The sequence below is a fragment of the Homo sapiens genome, chromosome X, assembly GCF_000001405.40.
Source record: "Homo sapiens chromosome X, GRCh38.p14 Primary Assembly".
In the NCBI taxonomy this organism is placed as follows: Eukaryota; Metazoa; Chordata; class Mammalia; order Primates; family Hominidae; genus Homo; species Homo sapiens.
In genome coordinates, this window is record NC_000023.11 from 11,547,341 (window position 1) to 11,569,667 (window position 22,327).

At 38.9% G+C, this 22,327-nt stretch overlaps 1 protein-coding gene across 3 annotated transcripts in view, besides 3 other annotated features; it reads right to left on the reverse strand.

Annotated features, from left to right (window-relative positions):
• Nucleotides 1-22,327, reverse strand: part of ARHGAP6 (Rho GTPase activating protein 6) — a 528,377-nt gene that overhangs the window by 409,797 nt on the left and 96,253 nt on the right. The gene's annotated exons all lie outside the window — the stretch shown is intronic.
• Nucleotides 11,689-11,983: an enhancer, noted in NCBI's record as "tiled region #13392; HepG2 Activating non-DNase unmatched - State 13:Ctcf, and K562 Activating DNase matched - State 12:CtcfO". NCBI's record gives its function as "activates a minimal TATA promoter and a strong SV40 promoter by Sharpr-MPRA in HepG2 and K562 cells {active_cell/tissue: HepG2 | K562}" and the evidence as "EXISTENCE:reporter gene assay evidence [ECO:0000049][PMID:27701403]".
• Nucleotides 18,078-18,690: an enhancer, noted in NCBI's record as "H3K27ac hESC enhancer chrX:11583538-11584150 (GRCh37/hg19 assembly coordinates)". NCBI's record gives its function as "activates a minimal SCP1, AML or CMV promoter by ChIP-STARR-seq in naive H9 embryonic stem cells {active_cell/tissue: H9 hESC(naive)}" and the evidence as "EXISTENCE:reporter gene assay evidence [ECO:0000049][PMID:30033119]".
• Nucleotides 18,691-19,302: an enhancer, noted in NCBI's record as "OCT4-NANOG-H3K27ac hESC enhancer chrX:11584151-11584762 (GRCh37/hg19 assembly coordinates)". NCBI's record gives its function as "activates a minimal SCP1, AML or CMV promoter by ChIP-STARR-seq in naive H9 embryonic stem cells {active_cell/tissue: H9 hESC(naive)}" and the evidence as "EXISTENCE:reporter gene assay evidence [ECO:0000049][PMID:30033119]".

The window sequence follows — 22,327 nt, forward strand, 5'->3', positions numbered from 1 at the left end:
TTGGGAACATTGTTGATTTCACAGATCTGGTTGGGGCCTGAGATTCTGCATTTCTAATTATCTCCTAGATGGTGCTGATGTTGCTAGTCCATGGCCCACATTTGAAATACGATAATAGAGTATTTCCAAACGAGGTCTGTTCTCTAGTCCCTTCTCTGGGATTCACTAATTGGCCCACTGAGCAATCTGAGCTTACACAAGTAGAAATTGAGACCCTAAAAAGTCCAGTTGAGCAGTCATGAAGTGGACCTCTATCTATTTCTAATTCTGTTTCTAATAATATTTCTATTTCTGTGCTCCTCTCTCAGGGAGAAAGCCACCCAGCATATTTTCTTTATGTCTTACTGAGCAGAACAGGGTCACAATAATTGCTCCACCTCAATAAAAAAGGCACAGGCCCTGCAACTGCACTTTAAAGATGCACCCATCCAATTTCAGGAACTGCTGTGGAACAAAAGGTGAGGAACCACTGATCTAAGCAGTCCTCTTTAAATACCCCCTAAGGAATACCTTAGCTGTGGTCCTGAGTTTCCTAAGTGAAGGGAATGGAGTAATAAATGAGTATCTGAGAACCTGAGCTGATTTGAAGGTTAGAGCAATGGCTGGCCACTTTCTGGGACTCTATGGACACTGGGCTGACTTAGTGCTGGTTCCCACTCTGGGCTGCATGCTAGAGTCACCTGGAGAGCTGTAAAAAAAAAAATACTGATGACTGGGGACCACCCCCAGAGATTTTTAGTTTAATTCATTGGGACATAGCTTGTGCAGCAGAATTATTTTTCCTTTTGTGTTTAGTTGACATGTAACAATTCTACATATTTATGGGATACAGAGTATTTTTATAATATATACAATGTGTAATGATCAAATCAAGGTAATTAGCATATCTCCTGCCTCAAACATTTATCGTTTGTGTTGTGAACATTCAAAATCCTCTCTCCTAGTTTTTTGACATATACAATAAGTTATAGTCAACCATATTCACCCTACAGTGCTAGAACACCAGAACTAATTCCTCCTATCTAGATGTAAGTTTGTATTCATTAACCAGTCTCTCCCCATCCTCCCCTCCCTTCTGACCTTCTCTACCTCTAATACCCACAATTCTACTCTTTACTTCCTTTGGCTCAAAATTTTTTTAGCTGCCACATCTGAGTGAGAACATCCAGTATTTATCTTGTTGTGTCTGACTTATCTTGCTTAACATAATGTCAGCCAGGCTCATCCGTATTGCCAAGAAAGACAGAATTTCACTTTCTTATGGCTGAAAAGTATTTCTTTTTTTTTTTTATTGAGATAGAGTCTCACTCTAGGCTGTAGTGCAGCGACGTGATCTCAGCTCACTGCAACCTCTGCCTCCCGGGTTCAAGTGATTCTCCTGCCTCAGCCTCCCGAGTAGCTGGGATTACAGGCATGCACCACCACACCCAGCTAATTTTTGTATTTTTAGTGGAGACGGGGTTTCACCATGTTGACCAGGCTGGTCTCAAACTCCTGACCTCAGGTGATCCACCTGCCTCAGCCTCCCAAAGTGCTGGAATTACGGGCATGAGCCACTGTGCCCAGCCGGCTGAAAAGCATTTTATTGTGTATATGTACTATATATGTAGAAGAATAAAACTAGACCCCTATTTATCACCATATACAAAAATAAACTCAAAATGCATTGAATAGTTAAACATAAGATCCAAAACCATAAAACTACTAGAAGAAAACACAGGGAAGTTCTTCAGGACATTAAGACGTTAGGCCTAAACTAATATATCTTCTTTCCCAAATTACATCAGAGTATTGTCTGGTTTTCAGAAGGTTGCAAAGCAAGGGGTAGAGATGCACATTTGGAAACTACTTTCAGCTAATTCTATTAGCCTTAAGTAATTCCATAAAAATTGTATGGCTAAGACATCAAAAACAGAGGCAACAGAAACAAAAACAGGCTAAGGGAACTATAATAAACTAAAAAGCCTCTTCACAGCAAGGGAAACAATCAACAGAGTGAAGAGACAACCTGTAGAATGGGATAAAATACTTGCAAACTATTCATCCAATGAAGGACTAACATCCACGATATAAAAAGAGCTCAACTCAACAACAACAAAAACAAATAGGATCTGAATAGACAATTCTCAAAAGAAGGAAAGCAGAATTTTTAGAAGCCCCAGGGGTGAATCTAATATGCAGCCAAGGTTTAGAGCCACTGCCCTGGAGCTGTGCTTCTCAGTCTGTAATGTGCACACAAATCACCTAGAAATGCAGATTCTGATTCAGTAGGCCTGTGATGAGATCCAAGCTTCTGCATTTCTCAGAAGCTTTCAAGGATGCTGATGCTGCTGGTCTACAGACTCCACTTTGTCTGGAAAGGCCCTGAAAAAGCAGTACTCAAAGTGTAGTCCATGAACCAACATGATCTGAAAATTACTTACTGCCATTTTACAAGGAGAGAATTTGAGAGCACTGTTTAGAAACGTTTATAGCAACTTGACATTGCAGAGACACCCAAGTGTTGAACTTTGTATTTTACGAAGGTAAAGCATATTAAAACAAAACACCTGGTTGTGTAGCACTGGTAATCTGTGAAGCACACACCAAGAGGATAATCCCCTGTTAGGGCATGCAAATTTGAGGTGGAAATTACATTTTATTATCTACAGAATGCTTGGTAACAGGCCATAAAGGGCACTTAGAAAATGTTGGTTGAATGAATGAGTAAAAAACATTGGCCTTCTGGTTGTGGCTAGGGATAGGCTTCAAAAAGAGATAAGCCTATGCTTATATGGACTTCAATATGCAGAGAAAAAGGTTGGAAAGTTGGGGAAAGGCTGTAATTTAATTTGATTTCAAACATTTGCTAAGAGCTTCTACACTATACTTTAGAGACAGAAAGATGAGAAAAATGTGGTCCCGGACCTGACAGAGCTCCGTTTATCACCCTGTTATGCAAAGTGTGGACCAAAAAAATCACTGGTTATAAAAAATACAGGAACCTTGGCTGGCCCCAGACCTGCTGAATAAGAATGTGTATTTGAATAAGACAATTACTGCACACATTAAGATTGGAGACATGTTGCTCTAAACAAGTAGTTCTCAACCCTGACTGAATATTGGAACTTTTAAAAATCCTGATGCATAGACCACACTCCAGACCAATTAAATTAGATTATCTTGGGTGTGGCTCAGGCATCTTTAGTTTCTAAATCTCCTGAGGTAATTCAATGTCAACCAAGGCTGAGAACTACTTGTTTGGAGCTCTAGTAGGTAGGTATGTGAAGGTAAGATGTCAGTCTGAAGAATGCATTCATTGAATGGGCAATGGAGGGAGGGGCCTTGATGGATTTTGAATGCAAGTTGCTTTTCAGAATTACACATTAGGAAGATCATTGGAATAACTGCATGTTAATGTAATCAGATGAGGTAGAGACTAGCCACTTGGAAAGTCTCTTAAGAGGGCATCTCACAATACATATCATGAGAGGACAGTATATTATCTTGTCAAATTCTCCACTTTGTGGATAAACTAAGGGGGCCCAGTTTGTGTGCTGGTGAGTGGACTCATTGGTGTGGTGACTGATGTCAAAAGGACTAGTTAGGATGGCCCATTCATCAGTTTGATTTGAATCAGGAACAGCCAGTAGAGCATATCTAAGATAAATTCTTTAGGGGGCATTGAGTAAAAAAATCTACAGAACAAATACAAATGTACAAAAGTAGGGGAGAGAAGCAAGATTCGGGAACTGGAGGAGTGGTTAGAACAAGGAAGAAAGGAGTGAGATAAAAGTCATGGACAACACAAGGGTGACTTGGGAACAACATAAATGTCATGGACAACATCACAGTGTCTTCACTTTGCCATAATGGGTAGGCAGGCTCATGAAATGAAATGAAGAGTCTGAGGTTAGGATGAATACTAAATAGAAGGATTGTTAATCATCAAAATTTCTATTATGTATATTCTACTGAAGGAACCAGAGCTGACATCTCGCATAGTCATCTACAGGCTAATTGCCAGCAAATTAGAAAATTCCATCTGTTAGAACCTCTCACCCTACTCAGTTAAAGTTTTACTATATCTAAAGAGTCAAAGTTAAACATTTGATAAACCAGAGAACCCATTATTAACCCATGTTAATAATGCTGCAATGAACACTTTTGTTGGTTTTACTAACTCCAGAGTTTGACATTTCAGAAGATGAGTGTTATGGGATGAATTGTGTCTCCAAAAAAAAGATATGTTGGAGTCCTTACCCCCACTACTTTGAAATGTGACCTTATGTGGAGATAGGGAATAAACAGAAGTAATCAAGTTAAAATGATGTCATTAGAGTGGGTCCTAATCCAATATGTCTGGTGTCCTTGTGAAATAGGGAAGTTTGGACAGACAGAGAGATACACACATAGAAAGAATGCCATGTGAAGATGAAGGTAGAGATTAGGGTGATGCATCTACAAGCTAAATGATGCCAAAGATTGCCAGCAAACCATTAAAACTAGGAGAGAGACTTAGAATAGATTCTCCCCCACAGCCTTCAGAAGGAACCAACCTTGCTGACACCTTGATCTAAGACTTCTAACCTCCAGAACTGTGGATCAATACATTTGTTTAAGCCACTCAGTTTGTGCTGCTTCATTACAGCAGCCTTAGCAAACAAATACAATGAGCTGTACGAGAAGACAGCATAGATGAAACAAAAACCTAGAAAAGGTATAAGGAACTAAAACAACTCAATAGTAAGAAAATAAACAACCCATTTAAAACATGGGCAAAATACCTGAATTGGCATTTCTCAAAAGAAAACATCAAATGGTCAATATTTTTTTCAATATATGAAAAACATACTCAATATAACTAGTCATCAGAGAAATGCAAATCAAAACTACAATGAGACATCACCTCACACCTGTTAGAATGGTTATCAAAAATATGAAACATAAGAAGTGCTGGAGAGGATGTGGAGACAAAGGAAGCCTGGTACACTATTGGTGAGAATGTAACTTTGAACAGCCAATATGGAAAACAGTATGGAAGTTCCTCAATAAATTAGAAATAGAACTACCATATAATCCAGCAATCCCACTACTGAGTATATATCCAAAGGAAATGAAATCAGCATGTCAAATATCTGCACTCCCATGTTCACTGTGGTAGTATTCACGAGAGCCAAGATATGGAATCAACCTAAAGTTCCATCAGTGGATGAACTGATAAAGAAAATGTGCCATATATATATATATATATATATATATATATATATATATATATATAGACACACACACACACACACACACAATGGCATACTGTTCAGCCTTAAAAAAGAAAGAAATCCTACCATTTGCAACAACACAGATGAACCTGGAATTCATTATGTTTAGTGAAACAAACCAGGCACAGAACGACAAATGCCATATGATATCAATTTATATGTGAAATCTAAAAAAGGCAAACTCATAGAAGCAGAGAGTAGAATGGTGGTTGATAGGGGCTGGAGATGGAGAGGGAGGATTGGAAGATGTTGGTCAAAGGATACAAAATTTCAGTTAGGAGGAATAAGTTCAAGAGCTCTATGGTACAACATGGTGACCACAGTTAATAACAGTGTATTGTACACTTGAAAATAGCTAAGAGAGTAGATATTAAGTGTTCTTACCACAAAACAAGATAAGTATGTGAGGTAATGCATATGTTAATTAGCTTGATTTAGTCATTCAAAAATGTATACATATGTCAAGACGTTAAAAACAAGACCAGGGGAACTTTATGTGTTATAAAGTTAGGACAGTGCTACTAATGAAAATAATAATTAGCTGAGAATATATTTTGTGAGAAAGTGCTTTATTTGTGATAAATCAGGCTTAAATGTGTAGAAAATCCAATCTTGAACAAATAAACAAAATCGTTGCTTAGAACATTTTTTTTTTTTTTTTGAGACAGGGTGTCACTCTATCACCCAGGCTGGAATGCAGTGCTGCAATCATGTCTCACTGTAGCCTCAACCTCCTGGGCTCAAGCGATCCTCTGACCTCAGCCTCCTGAGCAGCTGGAACTACAGGCGTGCGCCACCATGCCCAGCTAATTTTTGTATTTTTTTTTAGACAGGAGGTCTCACCATGTTGCCCAGGCTTTTCTCGAACTTCTGGACTCAAGCAATCTGCCTGCCTCGGCCTCCCAAATTGCTGGGATTACAGGCATGAGTGCTTGCACCTGGCCAGAACGTTTTAAATAAGAGCTATGAGAGAATGAGATCCCCAAGAATACAGGAAATAGTCCTTTTCTAATTTGAAAAGCAGAGCATTTTTACTCTTGAAGCAATTCACCATTAAGTTTACTAAAGCGATAATGGCTTCCAAAAAGTCAAGGGGGAAGGAATAGAGTCAGGGAAAGAAGAAAGGAGCCAAATGGATGAATAAGGAAAGGAAGAACAAAGAATATCAACATGTATTACACAACTATTTCTTGAAAAATGTGTCAGCTTGTACCAAGCTGGTTTCAACTAGCAAGTAACTAGTCAAACTCCTTTGGGTAAGGGAGGCAGTGATACAGAGTCCAGTGTGAATACCAACATGAATTTAACTATTTCAGAAAGACATTTCAAGGGCATTGAGTAGGCAGAATGTACTATATTCAAAAGCTACTAACATGCTAAAAACCACAGCAAATGTTTAAATGTATTTGCCTAAATGTAATCAGCTGGAAGTTGCTTTTAAGAATCATCCTGTTCAATGAATGGATAAAGAAAATGTGCTGTATAATATACACAATGGAATACCATTCCACCATAAAAAAAGAATGAAATCCCATCATTTGCAGTAACATGGATATAACTGGAGGTCATAGTGTTAAGTGAAATATGCCACGCACGGAAAGAGAAATACCACATGTTCTCACTCACATGTGGGAGCTTAGAAAGTGTATTTTATGGAGGCAGAGAGTAGAATAATAGTAACCAGAGCCTAGGAAGTGTGGGTGGAGGTGAGATGAAGAGAGGTTGGTTCATGTGTGCAAACATACAGTTAGATAGAGAGAATAAGTTCTAAGGTTCGATAGCAGAGTACGGTGACCATAGTTAACCACAATGTATTGTATATTTCAAAACTGCTAGAAGAAAAGATTTGAAATATTCCCAACACATAGAGATCATAAATGCTCGAGGTGATGGATACCCTAAATACCCTGACTAAATCATTGCTCACTCTATGCATGTAACAAAATATGACATGTACCTCCTAAATATGAACAAATATTATGTGTCAATTTTAAAAAAGAATCAACCTATTAAATCTTTTGAAGTTAGAAATTTGGTTTCTCATACAGAACCTTTATTTCATCAAGAATAGAAAATATATTCTCTGGTTTTTACAGTTTTCTTGGTAGTTGGTCTTTGGTGCAGTGGTATGAATAATACAAAATTAAACCTGAATCCACCACATGTATTTGAGAGTGGAAATAAAAATACTCTTGTATAATCTCTCCCCCCATAGATGTCTACAGTGAAAAAGTACAGTTTGATAAAGTGTCAAAACGCAGGAAGGAAAACAGAGTGACTGAAAAATGTGGTGAAGCAGAGCAAAAAAGAAAAGCAATACTCCTAAGTGGGAACCTTTGAGACAATCTACCAATGAATAAGCATTTACTGAACAACTACTGTGTGAATGGGGTTGTGCTGGGCTCCTTTTGGGACAACAAAACACATCTGATAGGATCTCTGTTCTGAAGGGGCTCACACAACCAAGAGGGTGATAAGAAAGACAAACCTAGAAAGATACCTGAAATACATGCCAGTTCATGAAATGTGTCTTCTGATGGTATAAGCAATTCATTAACTCATTTCAAATTAATTCAACAATATTTACAGAGGTATGCCTATATGCCATGCACTGTTCTAGGTTCTAGGGAAATGCCTATGATGAAAACAAAGGAGGTAGTCCTCATGTAGCTTAGATTCAGTCGAGATGGAGTGAGCAGAGATAGGCCACAAATACACAAATAATGCTTAATACGTAAATATTGCAAAGAAAAATAAAGCTGGATAAAGGGACATGGGAGGGAGAGAGGGGTGCACAGTGGTCAGGGGAGGCCTCTCTGAGAAGCGGACATTTAAGCAGAGAACTGAGAAAGCTAAAAAGTGAGCCACATTGGGACAGGGCGTCGTGGCTCACACCTGTAATCCCAGCACTTTGAGAGGCCAAGGTGGGCAGATCACTTGAATTCAGGAGTTTGAGACCAGCCGGCCAATATGGTGAAACCCCGTTTCTACTAAAAATACAAAAAAATTAGCCAGGAGTGGTGGTGGGCCCCCAGCTACTGGGGAGGCTGAGGTGGGAGAATCTCTTGAACCTGGGAGGTGGAGGTTGCAGTGAGCCAAGATCATGCCACTGCACTCCAGCCTGGGCAACAGAGCAAGACTCCATCTCAAAAACAACAACAACAAAAATGAGCCACAGTGATATTTGGGGGAAAGCATTCCAGGCAGAGGGAAGAGCGTACGCAGAGACCTCCACATGGGAACGTGCATGTGTTTGAAGAAAAACAAAGAAGCCAGTCTCTGGGGAGTGATAAGAGATGAGACCAGAGTAACATCAGAGGAGAGCCAGAATACATAGGTCAACACAGGGTGATGCTGATGAAACGGAAGTTCACTGGAGGGTGTTGAGTAAGTGGGATGGCATGCTCTGTGTCAGGTTTTAAGTGGGAAACTCTAACTGCTCACTCCATCCACAACAAACAAACTTTCTGAAATCCCTACTCTGCGCCAAATACTAGGTATAAAAGGATAAGATATAGTTCCTACCCTATTATAATCACATATCCTTATCATTAAGCACACCAGCAACAGCAGCACCATCAATGTTGTTATCATCATCATCACCATCATCACTATCATTATCATCCTCCTCAAAATGCTGTTACTTAACTATACAACCTGTGGTCAATACACTTTCCTGAGTAGTGGGCCAAGATCCAACAACTTTTTCTTTCCAGGATAGATGAGTGTATGGGGTAAGAGTTAAGGGTACATCTGACTTTCGTGAAACTACCAGGGCTTGCAAAGTGATTTGAGTTACAAGGAAGACCCAAGAGGCCAGGCTATGTGCCAGTGCGAATTGGCCAACTTGTGCTATACCCCAGCAAGGCTGCTATCTGACTAGTTAACATCCAGTTGGACAACTTCCTGCAATGGACCCATTCTTTGCCGATTACAGAGTTTCTTTAAAAGACCAACAGTCAAAACCAGACTTACAGTTTCTTGTTTTGGATCTTCCATGAAGGTGAGGCTCTTTGTGGAATAAAGAAAAGGAGTTCCTCGAGACAGGAAAGAGGTTACTATTAGCATAACTAACTGTAGCTAATTTTGTTATGGTAAGGTTCTAGGGTGGCCCTTATTTTCAGGAATTTAATTTCAGAACCTAAATTACCTCTTTAAAAGTAGAAATCACCCTACTTTCAGAGCCTTTGGTATTTCTAGAATATCCTGTTCATTCCTTCCTATGTTATATTTTCTGTTTATGTAACTGTCTCCCTACTAGGTTCTGAAATTTCCAAGGACAGAGACTATGTCTTATCCATGTCTGTACCCCAATAACTTGCTCAGAGTCAGACAAACCTTTGTTGAAATATGTAGTTTTTCCTGCTTCTTCCCCTACCACAACAATCAAATTTCTACCCCTTGGACACTGCTATTGAAGAGTACAAAGATACAGTAATAAAAAGGAAACATAAAGTTACTAAAAACTGAGCTTCGATAAAATTAAAATGAAGAGGAAGAAGAGGAGAGGAAGAAGAAAAAGGAGATATTCACGTTTGATGCTTTGCTCTTTCCAAGAAGGTAATACCTGGTATTCAGTTGAAAATTTCCTCCATAAATCCTATCACCCATGTAAAAGTCTTTTCTGGAAGCAGATCAAAGTTTTGAAAACACCCTGTCAGAGACAGTATGACAGCTATGAATAGAATGCAGCATGAATGCTAGATTACTCATGATGAGAAAGATAGCAACCCCAATGCTGCAACAGAAATAAAATACTAAGAGTTTGTATGAGTAACAAATGACACCAACAGGCTGCACGTTTTACCCTCAGAGCTACAACAATCCCTTGAATTTTAACCATTTGTTTCTTTTTTTTTGTTTTGTGTTGTGTTTTCTGAAAGGCAAAAAAAAAAAATTATGAAGAAAAAGACCCAAAGAAAAAATTCCATGAAAAAAATGAATAGAGATATTACAGGAGCCAAAACATGAACAAAATCATTTCAGGAACAATCCTCTAAAAATAAGAAAAGAAACTGCCTTTTGCAAAGATGGGTCTTGCGATTCATCCCAGTGTTAATTATCAGGAAAAAACCCTGTAAGCACAAAGAACTTCATCCATAAACCAGTCTCACGTTAGGTACCATCAAGTCATCCTTAGCTAGGACAATTTTATAGGTGCCACAATATAAAGTAGGAATTTGGGATCAGAACACAAGAAAGGAAGTTTCTAACTTACAACCTATTAATCAAACTCAGCCTTGGTTTTGAGCAAATCTTAATTCCAAAGTTATACTGCAGGCTAATGTGGCCTCCAATTATATATATGTATGAGAAGTAACTCAGCCCAGGAGTGGCCTCTCTGAATCATTCTAGACAGATACGGTGAGTAGACCTACCACAATGCATGCTCAAATCTCTAAGTTAAAGAAAGCTGGAATGGCCCCATCATCTGGAATTATTGGGACAGAGCTACCATTTACAAACCCACACGCTCCATGTTATTTGCTGCCAAAATTAAAATCCAAGCAATCTGCTTGGGAAATGATGAAGCCTGACCATCACGATACTTAGAGAGGAGCTGTAGTATGTCCTCAAGGCATTATTTATTATTGGTGTTTGCTTAGTTTCCCCCAAAAGTCTGTGGCTTATCCATAACATCTGGGCTTCATCGTTGACTGGAAAGCTTATGAGAGCCCTTGTGCTGAGTGAGGCAATGGAAACAGAAAATGATGTCGGAGGATTGTCAACAGGCATTTGAACATCGCCAAACATCATGTTATTTTCCAAGGAACATTGAGGATGCAAATAAAAATCAAGTAACACTTCTTCTTGGCAAAGGAATGGGCTTAATTTGCTTTTGTTTTCTTCTCTCTTGGTTTTAACTTGAACTAGGCTGCAAAGGATCATGAAGACTTTATCAACTTTAGTTGCACTAAGATAAAGAGCTGTAGGTACAGTTTAAAAAGGAGAAATTTTGCCAGGTGTGGTGGCTCATGCCTGTAATCCCAGCACTTTGGGAGGCCGAGGTGGGCGGATCACGAGGTCAGGAGTTCGAGACCAGCCTGGCCAACATGGTGAAACCCTGTCTCTACTAAAAATACAAAAATTAGCTGGGAGTAGTGGTGGACGCTTGTAATCTCAGATACTTGAGAGGCTGAGGCAGGAGAATCTCTTGAATCCGGGAGGCGGAGTTCGCAGTGAGCCGAGATCATGCCAAGGCACTCCAGCCTGGGCGACAAGAGCAAGATTCCATCTCAAAAAAAAAAAAAAAAAAAAAAAAAAAAAAAAAAGGACAAATTTTACGCAGTTGCATGAAGCAGCTCCCCTTATGGAGAATTCTACAGTTAAGTCACGTAAATTCCCTCTACTACAGTTAACTGCTTTGGGAATTTATCGGGAACTTTTGTTCCGCTTCTGCTTGTCCACTTGTCTGCCCTGTCCACAGCTATTTTTCAGCTATAGCGACAGATCTTTATTAGTCCTTCCTTTAAAGGGATCAGAGATGGCAACACCTCCTCCAGAACATCAGAGTCCTTCATGTTCCAGCAATCTCTAGGTCATGGCCCCCTGGTGGCTGGGTGGTGGTATGGAAGGGAGAAGCAATGCCACTTTCACCTCTTACATCATCGATGCACTTGGTCTTTCATGATGAGGCCCATTTTTTTACTGTCACTGCTTCTTCCACTACCTCAAGCTGTTTAAAGCTGTTTAAGATCTCAGCATCTTTGTACATGCTTAGTGTACCTTCTGCCTGCCTGGAATGTGTTCTTCCTTGTTTGTCCAATTCCTTGTTATCCTTCAAAATGTCACCTTTCTGCACCAGCAAGCCTTTGTTGTCCTCCGGGATAATATGGAGGGTTCCTCCTCCCATAACAGTTCCTTCATATCTCTGTTACCCTTATAATCACTGATTTATTTATCTATGTCAATCATTGGCCCCCAAGTTTTTTCCCAAACAGGAAATCAATATAATTTGCCTTTGTATTCCCAGGCTTGAACATAACAGGTTTAATAACTATTTAAGAGGCAGTTTAATAACTGTCTGTTCAACAAATAAAGTAGGAGGGCCGGGCGCGGTGGCTCACGCCTGTAATCCCAGCACTTTGGGAGGCCGAGGAGGGTGGATCACGAGGTCAGGAGATCAAGACCATCCCGGCTAACACGGTGAAACCCCATCTCTACTAAAAATACAAAAAAAGTAGCCAGGCATGGTGGTGGGTGCCTGTAATCCCAGCTACTCGGGAGGCTGAGGCAGGAGAATGGTGTGAACCCAGGAGGCGGAGCTTGCAGTGAGCCGAGATCGCGCCACTGCACTCCAGCCTGGGCGACAGAGTGAGACTCGGTCTCAAAATAATAATAATAATAATAATAATAATAATAATAAAGTAGGAATTCACTATATTGAAAAGATAAATCAACCGAACAACCATGCCTGTTCTTTAAAAGCTAAGAAACATGCTGATTGCAAGTTCTCCATGCTAAAAAAATAATAATAGATTCCCTACAACTTCAGAGAAGAGAGCACCCGATTCTCAAAGTTGAGGGAAAAATAGTGCAATCAAAAAGACGGGTTGAAAAGATTTTTTTCCATAAAGGGTCAGTAAATGTTCATTATCATGAGTTCTATATTCTCTATTTCAGTTACCCAAGTTGTCTGTTGTAACATGAAGGAAGCCACAGGTAATGTGTAAACAAATGCATATGACTGTGTTCCAATAAAACCTTATTTCCAAAAATAAGCAGCAGGTTGAATTTGGCCTGCAGGCCTTAGTTTACTCATCTCTAATACAGAACGTCAAAGAATTTAAAAGCATCAAGTTTAGTGTTTAATGAAAGGAGAAGTACTTTCATGTGTTCTCTAGAACCCCAGAAGGAGGGAAAAGCCTATGTAGGACATTTGTATGTGGACATCATAAGGTTGACACACATTTTCAACAAAATACACTCATCATGCAAAACCAAACGGCTTTAATAACCATGAGCTATGTTACCATACCCAGTTTTGTGGGTGAATCTGAGTTTACTAGTCAGACTGGAGCAGGAAGCAAAATTTCAAAGGTTGGTAGTGCTACAAAGAGGTAGATAATCCTTCCTCCAATTTTCTTATTCCTGCTTACTACACTTTGAAAAGAAGTCAAAGCGTCATCTTAAACAATTTTTTAAACACCAGAAAGTCAAATGCTCCTAAAGTCATGCATTTTCTATTTTCCATACCTCTTTTTTGATACAAATGTATTTTTCAAATCTTTTACTGTTTAGCATTCTCCTTATTCTAATGACAAATTTCCAGACAAATTACCCATCAATCAAATAACAGCTATCTGTTAAGCACTTTCTGCAGGCCAGTCACAAACACTTTTTGCATGACAGTCTCTCAAAACTGAACATCTAGGGCAGGGGCCACACCTGGACTGCAGCCTGTTTTTATAAACAAAGTTTAATTGGAACATAGCTACGTATAGTTTATGGCTGTTATTGTAATACAGAGTGAAGCAGTTTCAACAGAGACCACAAGGCCTGCAAAGTCTAAAATATTCACTATTTATCCCTTACAGAAGATGTTTGCCAGCCCTTGATCCAAAGTAAAGGATCCTAAGCAACAGAAATAGCCATCAGTAGAGGACAGGTTAAACAAATTAAGGGATCACTATTTTATAATTAATCTCCATATAATGGAACACTATAAAACCCTTAAAAACAAAAGCTAAAACAAAGGAAGCATATGTACACCCAGAGATATAAAACTATCTCCAAGGTATGTTAAGTATAAGAAATTGTATACAAATTATGCAGTATAATTTGTACAAAAGTGGTATACATATAGATTCAGAAACGTGCATGCTTATAAATGCATACAATAACGCAGGAAGAATGGAAATGTATGCAAGACATTGCTATCACTTGTCTCTGGGTAAGTAAAATGGTAGACTCAGGACTAGAGATGAGAATGAGACCTTTAATAAAAGCACATATTGTTTAAGACCATTTGAATTTTTTATCTGTATGTATACATGAACTATTCAACATTAATAAGTATATAAAAATAAAATAACATGTTTTGAAAATTGATGTATTAAAGAAAATCAAGTTTGGCTATGACCCCAAAGGAAATAAAGTTATATCTGGCCAACCCAAATTTTCTGCCAGCTCTGGACAAAAATGGACTAGTGATTTCAAGTTTCCCTATCCACCTCTGTTTTTCATGTCAAAGAAGGGAAGCTGCAGAAAGCCCTGGCTTCCTTGGTATCAGGAAGCATTGGTTGTTCCACATGAACACCAAGGATGCAACATCTGGATGTCCACACATGGCTAGGGCAGTGAAACAAATTCAGACGGAGGCCAGTGGCAACAATCACAAAATGGAAGCACTGTGGGCCTACCACAGAAGCTGCTGGGGCAGGTGATACAGCATGTCCTTTGGGAGGGGCCAGAGGCAGGGCTGACTCTATCCATATGCAACAAGAAAAGTGCTGCCCCACCTAAGCACCAGAAAAGAGAGCAGGAGCTCATAGGAAGGGCAAGAAAGCAAAAGCGACAGGGGTAATACATTATGAAGGGACTAGGCCAGACCTGAATACCAAGGATGACAACAAAATGAATAGCAGCCACACTGGGGGAACCACTTAAAAGGTGTGTGTGTAATTCTTTTTAAGAACATGCCAGAAGTTATATAAAATGAAAATTGCCTTTCAAAACTGTGGATCTACCATATTAATTTGAGGAACTGCCCTCAGATCCACATCAGTAGTCTGTGAAACTGCAGTCTAGCAGCTTGTAATGGAAATGGCATGCTCATTCATTCAATCTTAAAATGTTCCTGTATAGATTTTTAAAAAGCCCATTAGCATGTAATTGGTATATTAAGAAAACACAATGCTTAGAGTCAACAATCCCACATAATGGGATTATTATTTGGATTTGTTTCTTTTAAAAATGAAAATAACTTTATCATTTGAATGTTAGGAAGGTATAAACAACAGAGGAAACTATAAAACAAGGAGAAGGTTTAAAAACCACCTGAAGTTCCAAATTCAGGAATTATTTAACTTTCTGATTCCCATCAAAAAAAAAAAAACTTCTTGCCATCTAGCTAAAAGTCTCAAAATAGAGTAGCAGGCATTACCCTAGATGATTTGAAAGTTAAACCTCCTCTTTGCCACTCCAACACTAACAGTGACCTTCCCTCTGGCTCCCACCTTTGAAACGCAATGTCACTCAAGGTTCAGTGGCTATTTTGAGAATAAGCAAATCAAATTACCCAAGACTTTTGCAAACTCACGCCTCCTAGAAAAAGTTAATAATGCCTTTATGTTAATTTGATTCACCTTCTAATTTTGGAACTTTATTACTTTGAACACATGTCAGCTGTTATACTTCTAGTTTAATTGCCTAATTGTGAAATTTCTATGCCATGTGTATTGGACTAACTTCTGCTTTGGGGAGAAAACCCACAATAAATAAAAGTTTTTTTAAAAGAGACATAAGGGCCATTGAGCACCTGGAAAAAATGCATAATTATAACCACACATTACTGTCATTTTTAAAAAAGACATTGAGTTGAAAAAAGAGAGGAAGAAATGAAAAATATGTTTTTATTAGAAAATTCATAAGAAAATAAAAATGATATTAAGTGAATTCATTTGAAATAAGTAATTTATCAATATTAAAATTCCTTGAAGAAATTATTTACCAACTGTAATTTTGTGAGCCAAGAGTTGGAATATCCACTTATTAAAAAAATCATAAGATAATCCAATTTAATAATAATAAGTTCAAATATGTAAATAACAAAAGTAATGGAACAGGCATTATGGAAATGTGTTATGAAGAAAACTCAGTATTATTGTTCTTTCTAGCTAATTTTCAATTGTATGAAATCTCACAAGATGTATATAATCAGAAGCACATTAACTGAGAAAAGTATTTCTCTCTCATATGCGTGCACATGCATATAAGTACATATCCACCTACTAATTAGAAAGATACTCCTGTAAGCCAGAATAGCACATCTCTGCAAAGATTGGAAACTTTGCAAACATTCATCATTCATAACAATTAAGAACTTGATTGCAGCTACAATCAAGTTCCTAATTTCACATCATAACCTAAGTCTAGAAGGAACTGGCAGAAATTCACACTTATGTTTATACTTAAAATCAAAGTGAAGTTAAACTTCACTTTGAAGTTAAACTTCACCATAACAAATGCTGGTATTCTTAGTTTCGCCTGCAATGTGAAACATAATACTCTTTGATAAGTTACTGTTGGTTAACTTAAAATAATTTCTTGCAGGCCTTATTTTCAGTAACATGTCTCCGAGTATTCTTAGTTTTGACTTGTCACTTTTTTTAGTCTAGAGATCTAAAGCATTGTGTGTTAAAGGTCACAAAGAGAGGCAGCCTCTAAAACTACTCATTTATAAAACATTTTGTTGACATGTTAGCTTATCATTGTCAACAAAAAAATTCACATAAGGTCTAAAAAGTGCTTTTATTCCAATGAAAAACAATAAAATGATAGATAGCAAGAATAGATAAATCAGTGTTCAGTGCAACTAGGAAGATTTCCAATATATACAGGTTAAATAATTCAACTTCCAATTAATTAACTGGAGCTTATTATGCCTTTCTCTTTGCATGTTAATCATTATAAAAGAAACAAAATTTCAGTATTAGGTATAGTCTCTGTGAAGTATTTTTCCAACTAGAATTTTTTAAAACCTTCAGAACACTATTGATTACAACTTCCATACAAATTTCCTTAAAAAAAGATTAAAAGTATTAATAAGGTATTAAGGAAACTCAAAGTTAGTACCTCAGTTTGCTTAAATTAAGGGCCCATAAGTGCTTAGGTATAGTACTTTTTATTTGACTTATCCAACAGAACTTTTTTTTTTAATAGAGTTCTGGTTTTATAATATATTCTTGAAGGAAAAAATATATCATTATTTGATATTTAATATTAATTCATCTGAACACAGTAAAATTTCTTAACAAAACCTAATTATGAATATAAAAAGACTATTTCACATCATGATGAAAAGAAAACTGATTGCTAGCATTCTACGAGGAATAAACCAGACTTTATGACTTGTAACATGTAGTAACATTTTTATACAGCATTAGGTCAATTTCATGGATGCCTCAGCCTTTCAGTCTTGTATCTAGGCCAAAAGCACAGGCTTCTGGAAGCAAATGTTATGAATCACATGACAAGTAGAATATGCCACTAAAAACAATCCCAAAAGTTGTTCTACTACTCCTGGCCAGGTCTCATGCCCTACAGGACTGGCTGGATGGAGCACCTCCTATGCAAGGATAACCTCCTGGACAAATCTCATTGCCTCCTGGAGACTTTTTCCAAGGTTTGTCTCTGAAGGAGAAAACTTATCCAAAGACTCTGACCTTGGCATACAGGAGTAGAGAAGACACTCAGCCAGCTGATTAAAGTGCACAACATATTTTACCAGAAAGTAGGGAAATCTCAGAGTACTACTCTACTATGTATAGTAAGGATACGGTTAGGGAGTTGCCCAATTTTCCTGGTAGCTCTGTGTGAAGCATAGGTACTAGTCTTTTCCTATTTCACATCAACAACTATCACTGAATCTTAATTTTGAGGGTCATCACATCTCCAGTTGCTATTTCTCCCTGATTCTATTGCCCTGCCCCAGATCAGAAATGTTTTTCTCAGCACCTTCAGTTTTGGAGGAACAACATCCTCTTCTTTGGGCACCCCAGGCTCACAGATCAGTTTCAGAAAATCCTAGAAACACAATATGGCCTGAACTACCAGTAGGCTACTCAGAACTATATTCATTCCTTTATGTTCTTCTCTGGATCCCAGCAGCTAGAAGTTTGGTAATTACATTTTCCAGACACCTTGCGATACAGTTCAGGGTGAGCTCACACAAATGAGATATATTCACAAGGCCTAAGAGAAGCCAAAGTCCAATATGGTGATGGCAGGCAGATGAACAGCCTTGGGCCAGTGGCCCATGGGAGGTGTTGCTAGATGCTTCCAGGTACAGTAGGTATCTGAGACCATCAATGGTGCCTGCCTGCTGTTATTATCTTCCTAATTTCTTGAATGCTAGTTGAAGTCCTTTTCAATTCTTTAGAAAGCCTCTCACTCCTGTAATAAATCTTTCTTCTTGAAATATCTAAAGGTTTTATGTTTTCCCAACTGAATCCTTGCCAGCGCAGAATGGCTTAGTCATAACTCAGGTGCACTGTCGGTGGAAGGGCCAAAGGGGGTTAACTGGCCTCCATAGAAGCAGTTCAGGTACCAACAGCAGATAACAAGCAAAGGTTCAAGAAATCAGACTGAGTCCAACATAAGGGATGGCAATTGTCAAGGAGGGACCTATTCAGAGCTGGCTATCAAACGCAATATTCTAGCTCCTGGGAGAAACAGCATCCACTAAAATTCAAAATTCAGTGTTGACATTTGAGATAGTGATGCACTTCCTCTTCACCCCAGATACGAATTTAGTGCAAGTACGATAGAGATTGTGTGTAAACCAACACATGGTACTCATGGTGTCCTGGTTGGTGATGCAGAAAATATGGACTATAGTGTTCATGGTGCTGATAATCCACCAGAGGCTGACAGCAACAGTGAAGGAGGTTTCCTGGAAGGTGAGAAAGCACTGGGAAAATGCTGCTTTCATGTCTGGTTCACTGGTGTTCATTTTGTAAAATAATGCTAGCATATAGAGAATGTTTACTCTTTCCATTACATGAGAATGTGGTGAATTAACAAACCTGAAAGAAGACCAGACTTAGGACAATTGCTGAGGTCTGTATCCATTCATCCCCAAGTTCCCCTGCCCTACAGCTATGCTAATACACACTCTGCTTCCCTTGGAGATTACATTCTCACTCTTTGTTGTCTTTGTAGAATTGCTGATCACATGAATAAAATGTTTATGTTAATTCATGACAAAATAAAAGTGCTGAACAGAAACTCACTTAAACTCTTCTGGAACTTGGTTTTCTCTATCATTAAACTGTGATTATAATCCTATTGTTTAGGGGGTTTGTGAGCATTAAATGAAATATATGTAAAAGAGCTTTAGAATGTGAAGTATTACCAGTAAAAAATTTATTGCAATCATATCCACACAAAAATGTATATGAAATATCTCCATGAGTATTATGCAAAACCATGTACAAGACAAAGTAAGTTAAGGCCATGAGAGCAAAAAAGGATTGCAAAGCATAACAAAAGCCAAAATTGAAAACAAAACAAGACTTTTGTTTCTTTAAAAATAATATCACCAGCCAAACTGCTTGACTTTCAAAGTTATGGCTTACAGCATGCTCAAACAATTTCTAAAATGTGAAAACATTTGCGGAACTTGTGGGAAAACATAATTTCCAAAAGCTTTACTCACAACAAACCCAGTAAAAATAACAATGCCCACATCATCACAGACAAACACATCAGTGCACAGCAGTCCCTGATGCAGTCTGGCCCACCCAGAATGTAGACCTTAGAACATTTGGTGACAACACCGATCAACAGCATTTCATGAACAAGCCTTTGTGAATTAGTTCAAGATTTCTCTAAACATGTTAAATCATCATATTTATAACATGGATTCTTGGTTTGGGTTCTCCTACAAGTGGAGTCTGAAACAAGGATTTGAGTGTAAGTAGTTTATTTGGAAGGTGAGACAGAGAAGGGAAAGAAACCAACCGAGGTGTGTTATCACACAAGTTACTTCTGTGAGCAATTTGATCAATCCTACTAGGTAATACTGAGAGACAGTACAGAATATGCCTCAGAAACCCCGTCTCTACTAAAAATACAAAAAATATTAGCTGGGCGTGGTGTCAGGCGCCTGTAGTCGCAGCTACTCGGGAGGCTGAGGCAGGAGAATGGCATGAACCTGGGAGGTGGAGCTTGCAGTGAGCCGAGATGGCGCCACTGCACTCCAGCCTGGGTGACAGAGGGAGACTCCATCTCAAAAAAAAAAAAAATATATATATATATTTGCCTCAGAGTTGTCCTCACAGGGGGACTAGGAAGCTGGGGCAGTTTTTTGCCAAATCCCCATCCAACCAGCTGCTTGTTTTCTTTTCTTTTCTTTCTTTGACAGGGTCTTGCTCTGTCGCCCAGGCTGGAGTCTGGAGTGCAGTGCTGCAATCATGACTCACTGCAGCCTCGAATTCCTGGACTGAGGCGACCCTCCATTCTCAGCCTCCTGAGTAGCTGGGGCTACAGGCATGTACCACCACATCCAGATTATTATTATTGTTGTTGTTTTTATTGTAGATACAGGATCTAGCCATGTTGCCCACGCTGGTCTCGAGCTCCTGGGCCCAAGCAATTATCCTGCCTCAGCCTCCCAAAACACTGGAATTATAGGTGGCATGAGTCACCATGCTGGGAGAATTGCTTTCATGGCCATTAACACCCAGGCAATTCCCACTGTTAGAAGAAATGCCCTCAGGTGGCAGAGTTTTAGGTGTTCCAAACACGCAGCCTTCCATGCATAGAGTAAATGCTAAGGGGACATGAGAAAACACTGAGAGCATTACAAAATTAGATCCCAGGGAGGACCTGGAAAAAAAAAGTCTGTCAACTGCACACAAAATAACTGCTGAATCTCCAACAAAAAATAGTGTGGCGTCAGCATACCCAGGTACATGCCATATAGCTGAAAGCTACAGTGGTCCCAAGTATGTTGGGAATATTCACTTAAAAAATGTATTCATCACCAAATGAGTATATTGGAAGTTCTCAGCAGAATAAAAGAAATCACAATTATTTAATTCCTTATTTCAATAGAGATTCTAAAGATTCATTCTCTTCAATCCTGAAGCAATTCAGCAATGGTAAAATTGCTAAATAAATAAAAGTCAAGCAATGCAACTGGTAGTAATAGAAAACTGTAGTTCTGGCCAAACGCAGTGGCTCACGCCTATAATCCCAGCGGTGGGCAGATCACTTGAGGTCAGGAGTTCGAAACCAGCCTGGCCAACATGGCAAAACCCTGTCTCTACTAAAAATACAAAAATTAGCTGGCTATGATGGCGGGCACCTGTAATCCCAGCTACTCGGGAGGCCAAGACACGAGAATCTCTTGAACGCTAAGGGTAGAGGTTGCAGTGAGCTGAGATTGCGCCACTGCACTCCAGCCTGGGCGACAAAGTGAGATACTATCTCAAAAAAAAAAAAAAAAAAGTAGTTCTGCTCACTAAATCAAAGTGTTACTGAGTCCATTTTATGCAGAATATGCTAGCAGGAACTTTGGAGATATTTTTAAAATGAAGTCATAAACTTACTCTTTCCTTACATACAGAAGGAGTAACAAAAACTGATTTATTACAAATGGAGGCTATGGCAAAAACATAATTGGTAAAATCTATGTCTAGGCCCAGCAGGACAGAAGGTACTTAGTGATGAAAAAGCTCAGAGCTAGGTGGGATTAATTAATGAATTGTTTTGTACAGGTGAGCTTTGAGCAGAGTTATACAGGAAAACAAGGAAGGACTAGTAGAGCAGAAGAAAGAGGGGGTTCTACACTAGTCGTTCTTAAGTGCAGACAATCGTGACTTCTAGGGGTCATGTGGCAGTGTCTGGAGACATTTTTGGTTGTAGCAACTTGGGGAGGGGTTTCTAGCATCTAGTGGGTAGAAGTCAGAGATGCCACTAAATATCCCACAATGCACAGGACAGCCCCCACCACAAAGAATTGTCTGGCCCCAAATGTCAATGGTGTCTCAGTTGAGAAGCCCTATTTTAAATAAGGGGAATGGTATGGATGCTAAAAGGTTAACATGGAAAGCAAAGGAGGCACACTAATCTGTAGAGGATGTCATGGGTGGCTAGTGCAGGTGCTGGGAGAAGGTATCAGTGCTAGTAGGATTTCAGGTTTTGTTAATAAGAAATTTCTCTCCTCTAGCTTATGTCTTAATAATGTGTAAAATCCATGTAAGGTGATAAAAAACCAAAGCTCTGACTCTACCACCAATGGGAACATTATTGGACCACTGCGCATTTCCATCGCTGACTTCTACAGAAATTGGGATGGGTGGATGTCTGCACCATAGTGGCCTCTCCTAACCACACCCCCC